This window comes from Homo sapiens, chromosome 17 (assembly GCF_000001405.40).
Source record: "Homo sapiens chromosome 17, GRCh38.p14 Primary Assembly".
NCBI lineage: Eukaryota > Metazoa > Chordata > Mammalia > Primates > Hominidae > Homo > Homo sapiens.
Window position 1 is genome coordinate 49,112,703 of NC_000017.11, and position 13,483 is coordinate 49,126,185.

General features: G+C 42.4%; 1 protein-coding gene and 1 long non-coding RNA gene across 2 annotated transcripts in view, besides 1 other annotated feature; one reads left to right on the top strand and one right to left on the bottom strand.

The window, feature by feature from the left end:
- Nucleotides 1–7,641: 7,641 nt before the first annotated feature.
- Nucleotides 7,642–13,483, top strand: part of B4GALNT2 (beta-1,4-N-acetyl-galactosaminyltransferase 2 (SID blood group)) — a 56,497-nt gene continuing 50,655 nt past the window's right edge. Inside the window, exon 1 of the mRNA XM_017024173.2 lies at nucleotides 7,642–7,744. The gene's annotated coding sequence lies outside the window, so the exon portion shown is untranslated. The remainder of the gene's footprint in view (nucleotides 7,745–13,483) is intronic.
- Nucleotides 9,203–11,177, bottom strand: LOC124904021 (uncharacterized). The gene is made up of 2 exons (XR_007065835.1): nucleotides 11,076–11,177; nucleotides 9,203–9,760 (listed from the first exon to the last, which is right to left on the bottom strand). It is a non-coding gene; the product is annotated as an uncharacterized LOC124904021 (long non-coding RNA).
- Nucleotides 12,450–12,955: an enhancer, noted in NCBI's record as "H3K27ac hESC enhancer chr17:47202514-47203019 (GRCh37/hg19 assembly coordinates)". NCBI's record gives its function as "activates a minimal SCP1, AML or CMV promoter by ChIP-STARR-seq in primed H9 embryonic stem cells {active_cell/tissue: H9 hESC(primed)}" and the evidence as "EXISTENCE:reporter gene assay evidence [ECO:0000049][PMID:30033119]".

A 13,483-nucleotide genomic window follows, 5' to 3' on the forward strand; every position in this document is an offset into this window, starting at 1 on the left:
CCCATGTTTTTGTATAAGAACTCTCAAGGCATTCCCATGTGTTTAATGCACAAATAAAGAGAAAGGCATTTTGTAATTTGGGTGTCCTAAAGCTGGAGTTCCATTAGGGCTTGTTTAGTTTGATTTATGGCTTTCTGGCTTTTTTCTGTCCATATTAATAGCTCTGGCTGGTCAATTTTTAGTAATTCACAAAGAGGTTGGGTCATTGGAGAAAAATCAGGATTACAGTTTTGACGATATCCTGCCAATCAGAGGAAGCCTCATAGCTATTTCTTAGTGTTTGGTTTTAGAAAGGCAATTATGCCTTTAACTCTATCAGAGTTGATGGAAAACCCCTCCTTAGATATTGAATGACCCAAACATTTAACTTGTTCTTGGCATAACTGGAGTTTTTCTTTAGAGAGTTTGTGACATTTGCCTGTGAGTTGCCTTAGAAGATGCAGGCACCCCCATATGAGTGAGCATATGTGATATTTGTCTTTCTGTGCCTGGCTTAAATAAGCTACTTAATATAATGTCCTCCAGTTCCATCTGCATTGTTGCAAATGATAGGATTTCAATCTTTTTTATGGCTGAATAATATTCCATTGCATGTATGTGCCACATTTTCTTTATCTATTCATCTATGGATGGACACCTAGGTTGATTCCATATCTTGGCTATTGTAAATAGTGCTGCAGTAAACATGGGAGTGTGGATGTTCTTTTGATAAACTTGTTACCAGAAGCTGGGAAGGGTAGTGGGGAGAGGGATAAAAAGGGGGTGGTTAATGAGTAAAAAAATACAGTTAGATAGAAGAAATAAGATCTAGTATTTGGTAGCACAATAGGGTTACTATTTTTTTTTTTTTTTTGAGACAAAATCTCACTCTGTTGCCCAAGCTGGAGTGCACTGGCATGATCTTGGCTCACTGCAACCTCCACCTCCCGGGTTCAAGCAGTTCTCCCACCTCAGCTTCCTGAGTAGCTGGGACTACAAGCACGTGCCACCATGCTCAGCTAATTTTTGTATTTTTTGGTAGAGACGGGGTTTCACTATGTTGGCCCAGCTGGTCTTGAACTCCTGACCTTGTGATCCACCCGCCTTGGCCTCCCAAAGTGCTGGGATTACAGGCATGAGCCACCGTGCCCAGCTGGGAGACTATTGTTAACAATAATTTATTGTATATTTTAAATGTTTGAGGTAGTAGATAACTCTAATTACCCTGATTTGATCATTACACATTGTATGCTTGTATCAAAACCTCACATGTACCCCATAAATATGTACAACTATTATATATCCATAATAATTAAAAATAAAACATCTTTAGAAAGATGCAGGCTATCCTGCTGAAAAGTAAACAAGTTAGGTGAACAAAGAAGTAAATCATCTATGTACTAAAGTAAAGTAGAAACATTTCAAGTGAGACATCATTTAGATAAACTTTCAGGATCAGTGAAAAATAAATGGGGCTTTCAATATACCCTTGAGGTATAACAGTCCAAGTATACTGTCAATTATTCTGAGTAAGGCAAACAGATACTGGCTATTAGGATCCACAATAATTCTAATAGACACTACATAAGTGTACTACTGTAAAAATGGTGCTATTCTTGGGAATGTTAGCTAACAAAGTGTGTGGATTGGGAACCACAGGGTGCTGTGGCACTACAGTGTTGTTGATAGCCGTTAAGTCCTGTACAAATCCCCATCCTTCACCATTAGGCTTTTGAACAGGCAGAATAGGGGTGCTGCATGGACTGGTGCAGAGAAGGATAAATCCCTTCTTGATATACTCTTTAATTATGGGTTTAATTCTTTGGAGTGCCTCTGGTCACAAAAGATACTACTTGACGTTTGATTTTTAAGGGTTTACTTCCATTTTAATGGTAGTAGCTGAAAGAATTTCCCCAATTTCAGTGAAAGACTGGGACCACAGTGGGCTAGCAAGGTATCAAGCAAATTGTTTGATAGACTCAGAAGACTTTTCTGAGGGGCCAGAGGTTGCTGAACAAATTTAAATAGAACAAGCAGGGGAAGAAAAATTTAAGTGACATGTCAGTTGGTTCTGCTTCAGTTGGTTCTACTGACAGGTTCAAATACATTATCCCCTTTGGAAAAAAAGAAATATGTGCATTGTGTAATTCTAGGAAATCTCTCCCAAGAAGGTGAGTCAGGGCTGAAGGTACAAGTAAAAATTCATGATAATGGACTAAGGTATCTAATTGGAAAGGCAACAGTAAGGTTTTGTGCACAGTCATGGGTCGGTTAGAGATTTCCACCATGTTTAAGGTTTCTGCACTCCAAGGAAGGGGCCCTTTAAGGAGGTGGAATTTAAAACAGATAAAGTTGCTCCAGTATCAATTAAAGCCTTGGTCTTTTCACCATTAGTAGTTAAATTCATTTCACCAAGGGCATTAGAAGGAAAGGAAAGGACCCTGGAATTTCCTCAAAGCAGTCTTACTCTGATGGTTCTGTCATGGCCTTTTCTTCCAGTTGCCACTTGAGCTTTCTGGAATCCTTTTTGATGTGACCAGGATTCTTACAATAAAAACGTACATTTCTCTGATCTGGTGAGGGCTGAAACTGCTGTTTTTGAAATCCCTGTTGTGGATTGGCCAACTGTTGCTACTTGAAAGCTTATAATCCTAGCAGATTTAGACTTTTCTTTTTTGTGGAGAAGGCCACAATATTAACTAGATCACATATCTGAGTGGTTGCTCAATTTATCTGATGTCACTTAACGAGGGTAACAAACTCTTAGTCAAGGCCGTTAAGAAAAGCTGAGCTTAACATAGATTCATTTTTTTCTATTATTAACACTGTTATCAGACACACCAAAGTATTGTTTAAATGTCTTTTTGAATCATTCAAAATTATCTAAATCTGTTATGTTAGGACCTTGGCAGCATTGCCAAATTTTACCCAATCTATATGTTTTGGAAAGACTTTTGGGATGGCATCTAAAAGCTCTCTGGCTAAAGCGCTAGCTTCTATTCTGTTGTATACCTTCATTTGCTCTATTAAAGTTTTCCAGAGGATTTTGCCAATTAGCATTTTTAATCCATTTGGTGTCCCTCTCTTCTGAAATCAATAGTCCCCCTAGTAGCTGGGACCACAGGCACGTGCCAATATGCCTGTCAAATTTTTGTATTTTTTGAAGAGATGGGCTCAAGCAATCCACCTGCCTTGGCCTCCCAAAATATTGGAATTACAGGCGTGAACCACTGCACCTGACTATGACCCAATTTTTATGTTCTGTTTTATCCCAGGGAGTATAAACAAGAGCAGGTGTGCCTCAGTTAGTAGATTTTGTCTGGAATGGACAGGGAGCTTCTCAGGAGGATCCAAAAGCAAGGGAGGAGAAAGAGGAGAATTGAGAGTTCAGAGCAAGGAAGTTCAGAAAGGGTAGGGTCTAGTGGCATGGAAAACATATCAACAAAGTTGGAGGTGCTCTGGAATTTGTCACAGGTAGATTTTTATAGAAAAATTTAAAAGAAGGGAGGGGGTAACTCCTTATACCTGAGTTGTCCTCTTTTCATTGGAGGGGACAATACAGAAGTTACAATCATTTGCTACAGATTACATCATACAGATTAATTAGTCATTAATTAGTTTGGAAGCCTGCTTAACATAATGTGAAGTTATCAGCTTCAGTATACTCAAATTTAATGAAAGAATTGATGATGGTGTAGCATGGACTCAAATGGATAGGTCCCATGAGAACTCCTCTGTTACTGGATATAGATTTGCAATTCCAGCTGGCTGAGCTTTTGTTTAAAAAGGGCTCAGCACATCTGTAAGGGAGAATCAAGTTTTGCATCCCAGTCAAAACTTTCCATGTAATAAACAACTCAGCCTACTGAGATGGTAATCCTAGTTATTGCTGGGTAGAGTGAAATTGTCCTCTTAGTAACTAAGTTTATGGACAGTTCAGAGTTCATATATAGAGATGATAAAATAAATCCATTGTATTAGTACTTTTCTGTTATCTTCAGGAATAACATGTATTAATAAGCAGTTAAGTAATTGATTCTAAACACATGATTTTTAAGAGAAATATGTGAGAATATATGAAGTTTATAAACAGTGATGGAATGTTCAAAGATAACTTGAGATTTACTATATGTTATCAGTTTATTAGGGTTTTCTGATTAGATGCTTAGAGAAGTTGTACTTAGCTGATGAAACAAGTGAAATGCTTAAAAAAGAAAAATGACTATGTTATCTTTAACAATGCAAGTTAAAATGTTTAGGGAATTTAATTAACTAAGATTGTCATGGAAAAGAAGGCTATCTGACCACCAAATAAGCTGGGCTCCCTTTCCACAGAAGTCCACTGTAGTTTGTTGTTGATAGGAACTGGCTGCCTGACGTGGGACTCCATTCTCAACCTCTTGTGGTTAAGTGGACCAGGTGACCAGCTATAGTCAGTGGGAGGGAGTAGAAGTTAAGTGTATCCCCTCTGGGCCATCAGGTTTGGGTATGTGGCTTGCTTTTCCCATGACCTTCTTTCCATTGTGTGTTGACTTCAGAGGCCACACATCAAGGATGAAGACTTTACCAGATGGAAAGAGCCTGAGTCCCTGAATCACTTTTTCTTTTATCTGAGACAGAGTCTCTCTCTGTTGCCCAGGCTGCAGTGCAGTGGTGCAATCTCAGCTCACTGCAACCTCCACCTCCTGGGTTCAAGCCATTCTCTTGCCTCAGCCTCCAGAGTAGCTGGGATTACAGGTGCCCGCCACCACTCCTGGCTAATTTTTGTATTTTTAGTAGAGACAGGGGTTTCACCATGTTGGCCAGGCTGGTTTTGAACTCCTGACCTCGGGTGATCTGCCTGCCTTGGCCTCCCAAAGTGCTGGGATTACAGACGTGAGCCACCGTGCCTGGCCCCTGAATCACTCTTTGTTGGAAAGCCACCCAACAGAGTGACCCAAACAGGAGCATCCAGGAACCACGAACAATGGTCTTTACATGAGCAAGAAATAAACTTTTATTGTATGTTAGGCCACTAAGATTTCTTAGTAGCTATTATCCTGTGCCGACTGTTTCAGCTGTGAGAGGGGACTGTGTGCTATTTAGTCTCTGTTCCTCCAGCTCTGTCCTCCTCCCTACTCCACCCTGTTCTGTGATCCAGGAGGACATCCATTGTCTGTGTGACCCATGCTCCCTTCTCCTCTTGTTTCCAGCTGGGTTCAGTCAATGGGAAGAACCAGCAAGAGATGAGAAAGTAGGAAAGGAAAGAGGGCAGAGTATTTATTCCTTCAGCTCCCACCTGGCCAGGCTGAAGTTGAGCAAGCAACAGCTGTGGTTCCTTCACCTAAGGCTGCAGCTGTTTCTGGGTTCAGCTATCACTGTTGCCACACCTTGTTCACTCAAGCCTAAGGCAATAACAGCTTCCTGCTCTTGCTAGTCCCTGAGTGCTTCCCCAACCCTTGTTGGTTTCCTTAACCCTATGCACATCTCTGTAAAAAGGCCCTTGTTCAAACTCCCTGCAGTTACCCCCTTTTGAGTGTGCCAGGTTTTCTCTCATGAAACTGACATTGACTGATGTCAGTTTAAACTTATTTAAGGAAGTTTAAATATTCATCAAAGGTCCCTTGAAACTTCTTCTTCTTATTATTTTGAGACAGGGTCTTGCACTGTTCTCTAGGCTGAAGTGCAGTGGTATGATCACGGCTCACTGCAGGCTTGACCTCCCGGGTTCAAGTGATCCTCCCACTTCAGCCTCTCAAGTAGCTGGGACCAGAGGTGTGTGCCACCATGCCCAGCTAATTTTTGTATTTTTTGTAGAGATAGGATTTTGCCATGTTGCCAAGGCTGAATTATTTTTAAAATTTATTAGATTTATTGATAGAAATATGTCTTAGGTGACTTTTGCAATAATGATGCTATATAACAAACCACCCCAACCATGCTTACAATAAATTTTATTCTCATGCTTATGGGTATGAATATCAACTATAGTTCAGTTGATCTAGGCTGGGCTTAGCTGGGTGACTCTGCCACAGACTGCTGGCCAGCTGCGCTTGGCTCCCCCTGGCCATGGGTTCAGTTTGGATCTGATTCCTGGGTTTTCTCCTGGGGCCAAGGCTGAACAGACAATAGGTCCCTGGGGCATGTTCTTCTAATAGTGGATCACTGGAACTCAGGAGAGAAAGCTGATCCATACAAATGTATTTCAGCCTCTGCTTGAGTCCTCATCTGCTAACATCCCTTTGGCTATAGTAAATATTTTGGTCAAGCCCAAGGTTGAGGGGCATTGTCCATTCTGAGGCTATGGCAATGTGTGATATTCAACTCTTTTATAAGGAAGCAAGGAATTAGAACTAATAATTCATCCCATCACAAATTAAAAGGTCTGTTTATTGAATATGGAGCTTGTACTTGTGACTTCACTACATTTATTTATTTATTTATTTTGAAACAGAATCTCGCTCTGTCACCCAGGCTGGAGTGTAGTGGCATGATCTCAGCTCACTGCAACCTCCGCCTCCTGGGTTCAAGCGATTCTCCTACCTCAGCCTCCCAAGTAGCTGGGATTACATGTGTGTGCCACCATGCCCAGCTAATTTTTGTATTTTTAGTAGAGACAGGGTCTCATCATGTTGGCCAAGCTGGTCTCAACCTCCTGACCTCAAATGATCTACCTACTTTGGCCTCCAAAAGTGCTGAGATTACAGGCATGAGCCACCATGGCCTGCCTACATTTAATATTAATTTAAACCATAATAACCACAGGAGACTTTTCAATGCACAAAAGATGCCCTTCAAATAATAATTGCTAATACTGTGGCAAATGTTACTTCCCAAGCACTGTTTTAAGGACTTTACATTTATTAACTCATTTAATTCTTAAAACAACCTCATGAGGTAGGTGCTGTTATCATCCACATTTTACAACTGAAGATGCTGAGGCACAGAGATGTTTAATCACTTGTTTAAGTTCACACAGCAGGTTGAGAGCAGAAGCAGAGCCAGCCTCTGGAATTCATCTTTTAACTAGGATTGCACTGCCTCTTGAAGACATCAAGATAATTCAGAAGATAATTGAGAAGAAATCCACAGCCCGTCGAGTCTGCACCCCCTTTGCCCTGCTCCACGTCAATGACATACACCCATTCACCCATCCTTCTTGACTCCCAGGGTCAGGCTGAAGTCAGCTGGGCAGCATCCTGGACTTCTTTCCCTTCCTCACTGTTCCGGACTTGGCCCTGGCCCTTCCTGACTGTCTTCCTGTCTCCCCTGCATCTCTCCCATTCTCACTAACCTGGACCCTCCGCTTCACCCAGGCAGCAGGGCAGATGTGGGCTGTTGATCCAGTAGAACTGATTCCAGTCCCCTCTGTGTCCCCCTAGAGTTCTAATTTTCACTTTCCTCATGTGAAAGGGAGACAAATACAACACTGAAGACCCAAGATTGTTCTGAGCATTAAATGATAGAATACAATTCATTCATTCCTTTCTCCATCAGATGGTTTTTGAATATCAACTATGAGCCAGCCCCTGTGCTGGGGATACAATGGAGAGCAAAACAGGAGTGGCACTGCCTTTCAGGGAACAGGGGAAACAGACAGCAAACAAACATACACAGAGTAATATGCAGTTACAAACTCTGATCAGCGTTGTGACTGGAAGGTACTGGATGCTGGCTGTCAGGGCACGAAAAGAGGACTCTGACCTAGTCTGGTGGCTAGGAAAGGTCTCCTTGAGGAACTAACATTTAACCAGAGGCGGAAGGGTAAAAGAGAAAAGAAGCACAGGTGAGTGGAGGAGTCTTTTGTGTGTGTGTGTGTGTGTCTGTGTGTGTGTGTGTGTGTGTGTGTGTGTGTGTGTATGTGTGAAACAGTCTTGCCCTATTGCCCAGGCTGGAGTGCAGAGGTGTGATCTTGGCTCACTGCAATCTCTGCCTCCTGAGTTCAAGAGATTCTCCTTCCTCAGCCTCCTGAGTAGCTGGGACTACAGGCATGCACCACCATGCCTGGCTAATTTTTTTTTGTATTTTTAGTAGAGACAGGGTTTCTCCATGTCGGCCAGGCTGGTCTCAAATTCCTGGGTTCAAGTGATCCATCCACCTCGGCTTCCCAAAGTGCTGGGAATACGGGTGTGAGCCACTGTGCCCAGCCTAGAGGAGTGTTTTGAAGACAGGGAAAATAGCAGGTGAGAACTTGAATAAGCTTCACGCCTCACTGAGATCCTAGGGCAATCTGTTTAGAACCTTCCCCACGATTGAGGACCCAACTCCACACACCTATTGCTTAATCCTCATCCTTGAGCAAGTGACACCACTTGCTTTTTCCTTGAGATTATGACAAGCCTGGATATTTTGTTCTCACTTCTTCAGTCCTCTGAAGAGCTGACCCCTCATCTTTTTCCTTTCAACATACATTTATTGAGCAACAGCAAAGGCTGAATTTGAAGAAGAGGAAGGGTTACTGATCATTTGGGTGGGAAAACACTCCCAGCACTCATGGGAATAGTTCATTCAGTCAATGAATGGTGCCTACTCTGAGCCAGGCCTGCGCAAGGCTCTGGGAGCAGAGCAAGGAATAAGACATGGTCTCATTTCTCTAGAGTCAAGCAGTTGCTAACTGGCATCACCACCTTTTTGGGGTGGCTCAAATTGTTCTACTTTCTTCTTACCTGAGCACTCCTCTTGGTAGGAATTGCTGTTTTAACTGGGCCAAGATGCAAAGGTAGCTTAATCAGTCTTTCAGGAACAACTTTCAGAAAACTCAGTTATGGCACTAGAATCTGTTGGCTGAATCTGGTCCCATGTGGACCACTTGAAGCTTCTCCCATAAGGGACGAGTAGACAGGGGCTTGATGGTGAAAGGTAAAAAGAGTTTGTCCTTTGGCCCCGCAAGACCAGTGCCAGAGGTGGGTATACTGGGCACTGGGAGTAGCTGGAATGACCAAATACAGAGGAGATTCAGGTTACTTAAGAATTTGCCAATTTGTCAAAGGTGATAGCTGGAAATGGGTCCACAGCCAGGGAGAAGAGGAAGTCCTGTAACAGTAGTAAAATGGACCCACCACAGTGAAAAAGCCTGGGGTCACCATTGGGGGAAGCTATCCTCAGACTGACCCCAGACAGGGCCTGCAGTGTGATGCACACAGGCTGGACAGCTATCAGGGCTCCAGGTGGACTTGGACAGCCATCTCTTCTTTAGTCCTCAGTGTAAGAATTAAAGAAAGAGGAAAGAAACACGAAAAATGGCTCAACAGTTAAAGTCAGGTTTATTTTGGAGAATAAACCTGAGAGGGGCTTCTGGCCAATTTCTGTCAGGAGTGCTCTCTCTTACAGACTAAGAGTATTGGTTTTAGGGTGAGAAAGCTTATCACAGGCTTGGAATGTTTCTGTGTGTGGGGGAGAAATTTATTGCGGGTTGGAGTGTCTCTGGTCGGAGGAGAGGTTATCTCAGGGCTGGCATGTCTCTGGTCGGGGAGGGATTTATCTTATGGTTGGAATGTTTCTGGTCGGAGATGTCATTTGTGGTTTATGGTCATGCTGACCTTAGCCATTAGGCTGATGCCCTTTGGATTTAGGCGGCTTTTGATCAAGGTGAACTTAAAAATGGTGGTGCTTGTCCAAGATGGTGATGCTCCTGCTCTGTCAATCCAGACCCTATAGTTATAAAAAGGAAGAGAGGTGGCATGTTCTTTCTAGCTACTTCCTGCTGATGGGAGGACAGAGAGTTTTCTGGTCTCAGATTGACTGTAGGAGTAATGTCGTCTGTAGATGTTTTTGGGTAGTTGTCTGTGAAATGGCCATGATCCTGTCAGTTAAAAATATTTGAAAAAGGTTAATTAGGCAGGGTAAGAACATTAGTCCTAGGCATATTATTAGAAGAGAAGGCCCAGAAATGGGATGACCCATGCTATGATTTTGTTCCCAAACCAATAATCTATTTGGTTGTTTTGGTATTCCCTTACCTTTTCAGCCCTTTCTTTAAATTTTTCAGCAGTGTCTCTTACTAGGCCCAACTGGTTGAGATAGAAACAACATTCCTTACCTAATGAGATGCAGAGGCACATGTTTGGAAAGGCCCGTGTGTTACTTTTTGTTAGTAACCATTTTTCCTGCTATGAGGATAATAATTAAGCAAAATGCTACAGTAACTGAGATTCTCTGTCTGATATTCCACCCCGAGGCTGCTACAGCATATAGTCCTACTGCAAATAGTAGAGTGAGTAAAGCAGTTCCCACAGGGTGGCATAGTCGAAAATTTCCATTAAAAGGTTTTAATATTTGGCTGAGAAGGAGAGGTAGGAACGACAAAAAGTATTTGGTGAAGTAGGGGTGAGACTGAGTAAGATGACTAGTTCTCACTTAGTTACTTATTTTTTATGATTTTCAGCTTAAGATTTCCTATTTCTTTACATTGATATTTAGGATGTTCCTTTGGGCTGTCAGGGGTTGCTTCCTCAGCTTTCCAGGCTTTGACTTGAGTGTGATGTATCCAGGAGTTGATTCCTGTAACAGATACTGTCTCAATTGCCCTGGATTCCCTGGACTCACTAGACGTGGGGGCAAAGGATTCTGGGCACCCTCAGTTATTAGTTGTCAGTGCCAGCAGTGAAGAGATTTCCTCCTGTCATGGTTGGAGGCTTATAGGCAGCACCTGCTCAAACAGCTAGTTTTCAGTTCATAGGGCTTTAAGAAAGCACAGCTTATTTGGAAACTTGTAGCCAGAAAAGTTAGAATTTAATTTAAACTGTAGAAAATAATAAAAATTGAAAAACATTTGGCAACACTAGAATTTAATAACAGGTGTGCTATAGTTTTTGAAACATAATTTCCTTTCTCCAATTTCCCATTTTTATTAAAAGACAAATCATGGTAGGAATGGCTTGTTTTATTATACTTGGCTTAATTATTTGCATACAGTGCAGCAAGAATAATTATTTGTTACATAGGCCTTTTAAATTGGCATTGATGGAACTTTGTTCCATAGAAGGAATCTCAGATAAGACTTTTTAAAGCTGAGCCCAGCCATGGAATTATACCATTAAATACCTATGAGTTTCCCCTTGAGATTCCAAAATAACTTGGGGTTCCTGGCCTATCAGAAAGTGACATTCTTTACTTACCACAGATCAGAAACCCTGTACAGGGACTGTGTACACAAAACGTGAGGCCAATTTCCCAAGAGCTTTCTTGGCTTCATAAGTCAGGTTTGATTCCTTAAAGGAAAGCACACCATTCCAGCCAAAGCCTTGGTAAAATAACCAGTTTTTCCAATTGTGTCCTGTTACAAAAGAAAACAGATTCTTATTGCACTTATGCAAATAACTATATTGCCACAACTTAAGAATACTCACAGTTTCCAAATTCTGGAGAAAATCAGGTAGAGAGAAACAAGTATGCTCCAAATTTTGTTCATGGGAGTATACTAAATTGTTAAAAGCTGTCAATAGCTCAAAAGAAAAGTTTCTTTGACTTTGAAAAGCAAAACAAAGGATTAGCAATATTTTCAGCAAAACGTCAAAAAGATCACTTCAGTCTCCTATTAGTTCAGTTAATGCAGTTAATTTCTGTCCTGCTTGATATTAATGAACGTTTTAGCTCTTCGAGAGTCCTGAACGTTTTTCCTCTATTCTGATGTCACAATCTCCAAAGTTATCAAAAAGCTGCATTCAAGAGCACCTGTTAGAGCTTTATAGCTGATTATAAGACTACCTTCTAAAGAGGACCAAAACAAGACAACAATTGTTTATGGATGACAAAAAGTTTTAGGGTAGCCATAGTTAAAGTCACAATTGACAAGGATATCTGTTACCTTTGTGGCACACAATAGTTTTAACATAACAATTATAATTACTACTGATAACATACACTAAGATATATCAGAATTATAGGAGTCTCCCATAACTTTGGAACACATACCAATAACATATTTATACAAATATAGTCCAAAGAAAGCCAAACACCATTTTCTATTTGACATTGCTTCCTGTATGATTTTATACCAAATTTTACCATTATATTAGTGCTATTAATGTTAAGCTCAATTTTTAATAAAACCTTGTAGACAAATTTACCGAATTTTAATGTTTGACCATAAAGTAAAGATTTTTATAAAAATCTTTAAAAATAGTCTATAGACCCATTATAATTTTTGCTAAGAGCAGGTTAGTGCTTTAAGAGAAACCTGTTGTGCTTTTATTTTAATGCTCAATTTACAGAAAAACTGGATGATACCCCTTCAACTTTAGCCAATATGTTTACACACAGAATTTCCTTTACAATTAACCTTCCAAAAATTGCTTAAACCTTCATTTTTATTTTATTCAACTAAAAACAATTCTTTAACCTTTTAATCTAGGTAAAAAACCACATTACATTTTCATGCCTCCTTATAATCTTTTTACCAAAACTATATGTAAACTTTTTTTAATAGTCTTAAATACATGTTACACTTAACTTTTAGCAACCTTTACTTTTGTTGGTGAGTTTGGGATTTTATTTTATTTTTATTTATTTATTTTTGAGATGGAGTTTCACTCTTGCCACCTAGGCTGGAGTGCAATGGTGCAATCTTGACTCACTGCAACCTCCACTTCCTGGGTTCAAGCGATTCTCCTGCCTCAGCCTCCCGAGTAGCTGGGATTACAGGCGAGCGCCACCATTCCTGGCTAATTTTTGTATTTTTAATAGAGACGGGGTTTCACCATGTTGGCCAGGCTGATCTCGAACTCCTGACCTCAGGTGATCCTCCCGACTTGGCCTCCCAAAGTGCTGGGATTACAGACATGAGCCACTGTTCCTGGCCAAGCTTGGGATTTTAATTATGCACTAGGTGTAGAGCCTAGGACCTAGACAGAAGTGCAGATAAGGTCTGACTTATCCCAGCATTTAACTCCGTGTGTCGCCGCCATCCGGTCTGGGAGGTGAGGAGCATCTCTGCCCGGCTGCCCGTCGTCTGGGATGTGGGGAGCGCCTCTGCCCGGCCGCGGCCCCGTCTGGGGGGTGAGGAGCGTCTCCGCCCTGTGGCCGCCCCGTCTGGGAGGGAGGTGGGGGTCGGCCCCCGCCGGGCCGGCCGCCCCGTCCCGGAGGGAGGTGGGGGGGTCAGCCCCCCGCCCGTCCGGCCGCCCCGTCCGGGAGGTGAGGGGCACCTCTGCCCGGCCGCCCCTACTGGGAAGTGAGGAGCCCCTCTGCCCGGCCAGCCACCCCGTCCGGGAGGGAGGTGGGGGGGTCGGCCCCCTGCCCGACCAGCCGCACCGTCTGGGAGGTGAGGGGTGCCTCTGCCCGACCGCCCCTACTGGGAAGTGAGGAGCCCCTCTGCCCGGCCGCCACCCCGTCTGGGAGGTGTGCCCAGCAGCTCATTGAGAGTGGGCCATGATGACAATGGCGGTTTTGTGGAATAGAAAGGGGGGAAAGGTGGGGAAAAGATTGAGAAATCGGATGGTTGCCGTGTCTGTGTAGAAAGAAGTAGACATGGGAAACTTTTCATTTTGTTCTGTACTAAGAAAAATTCTTCGGCCTTGGGATCCTGTTG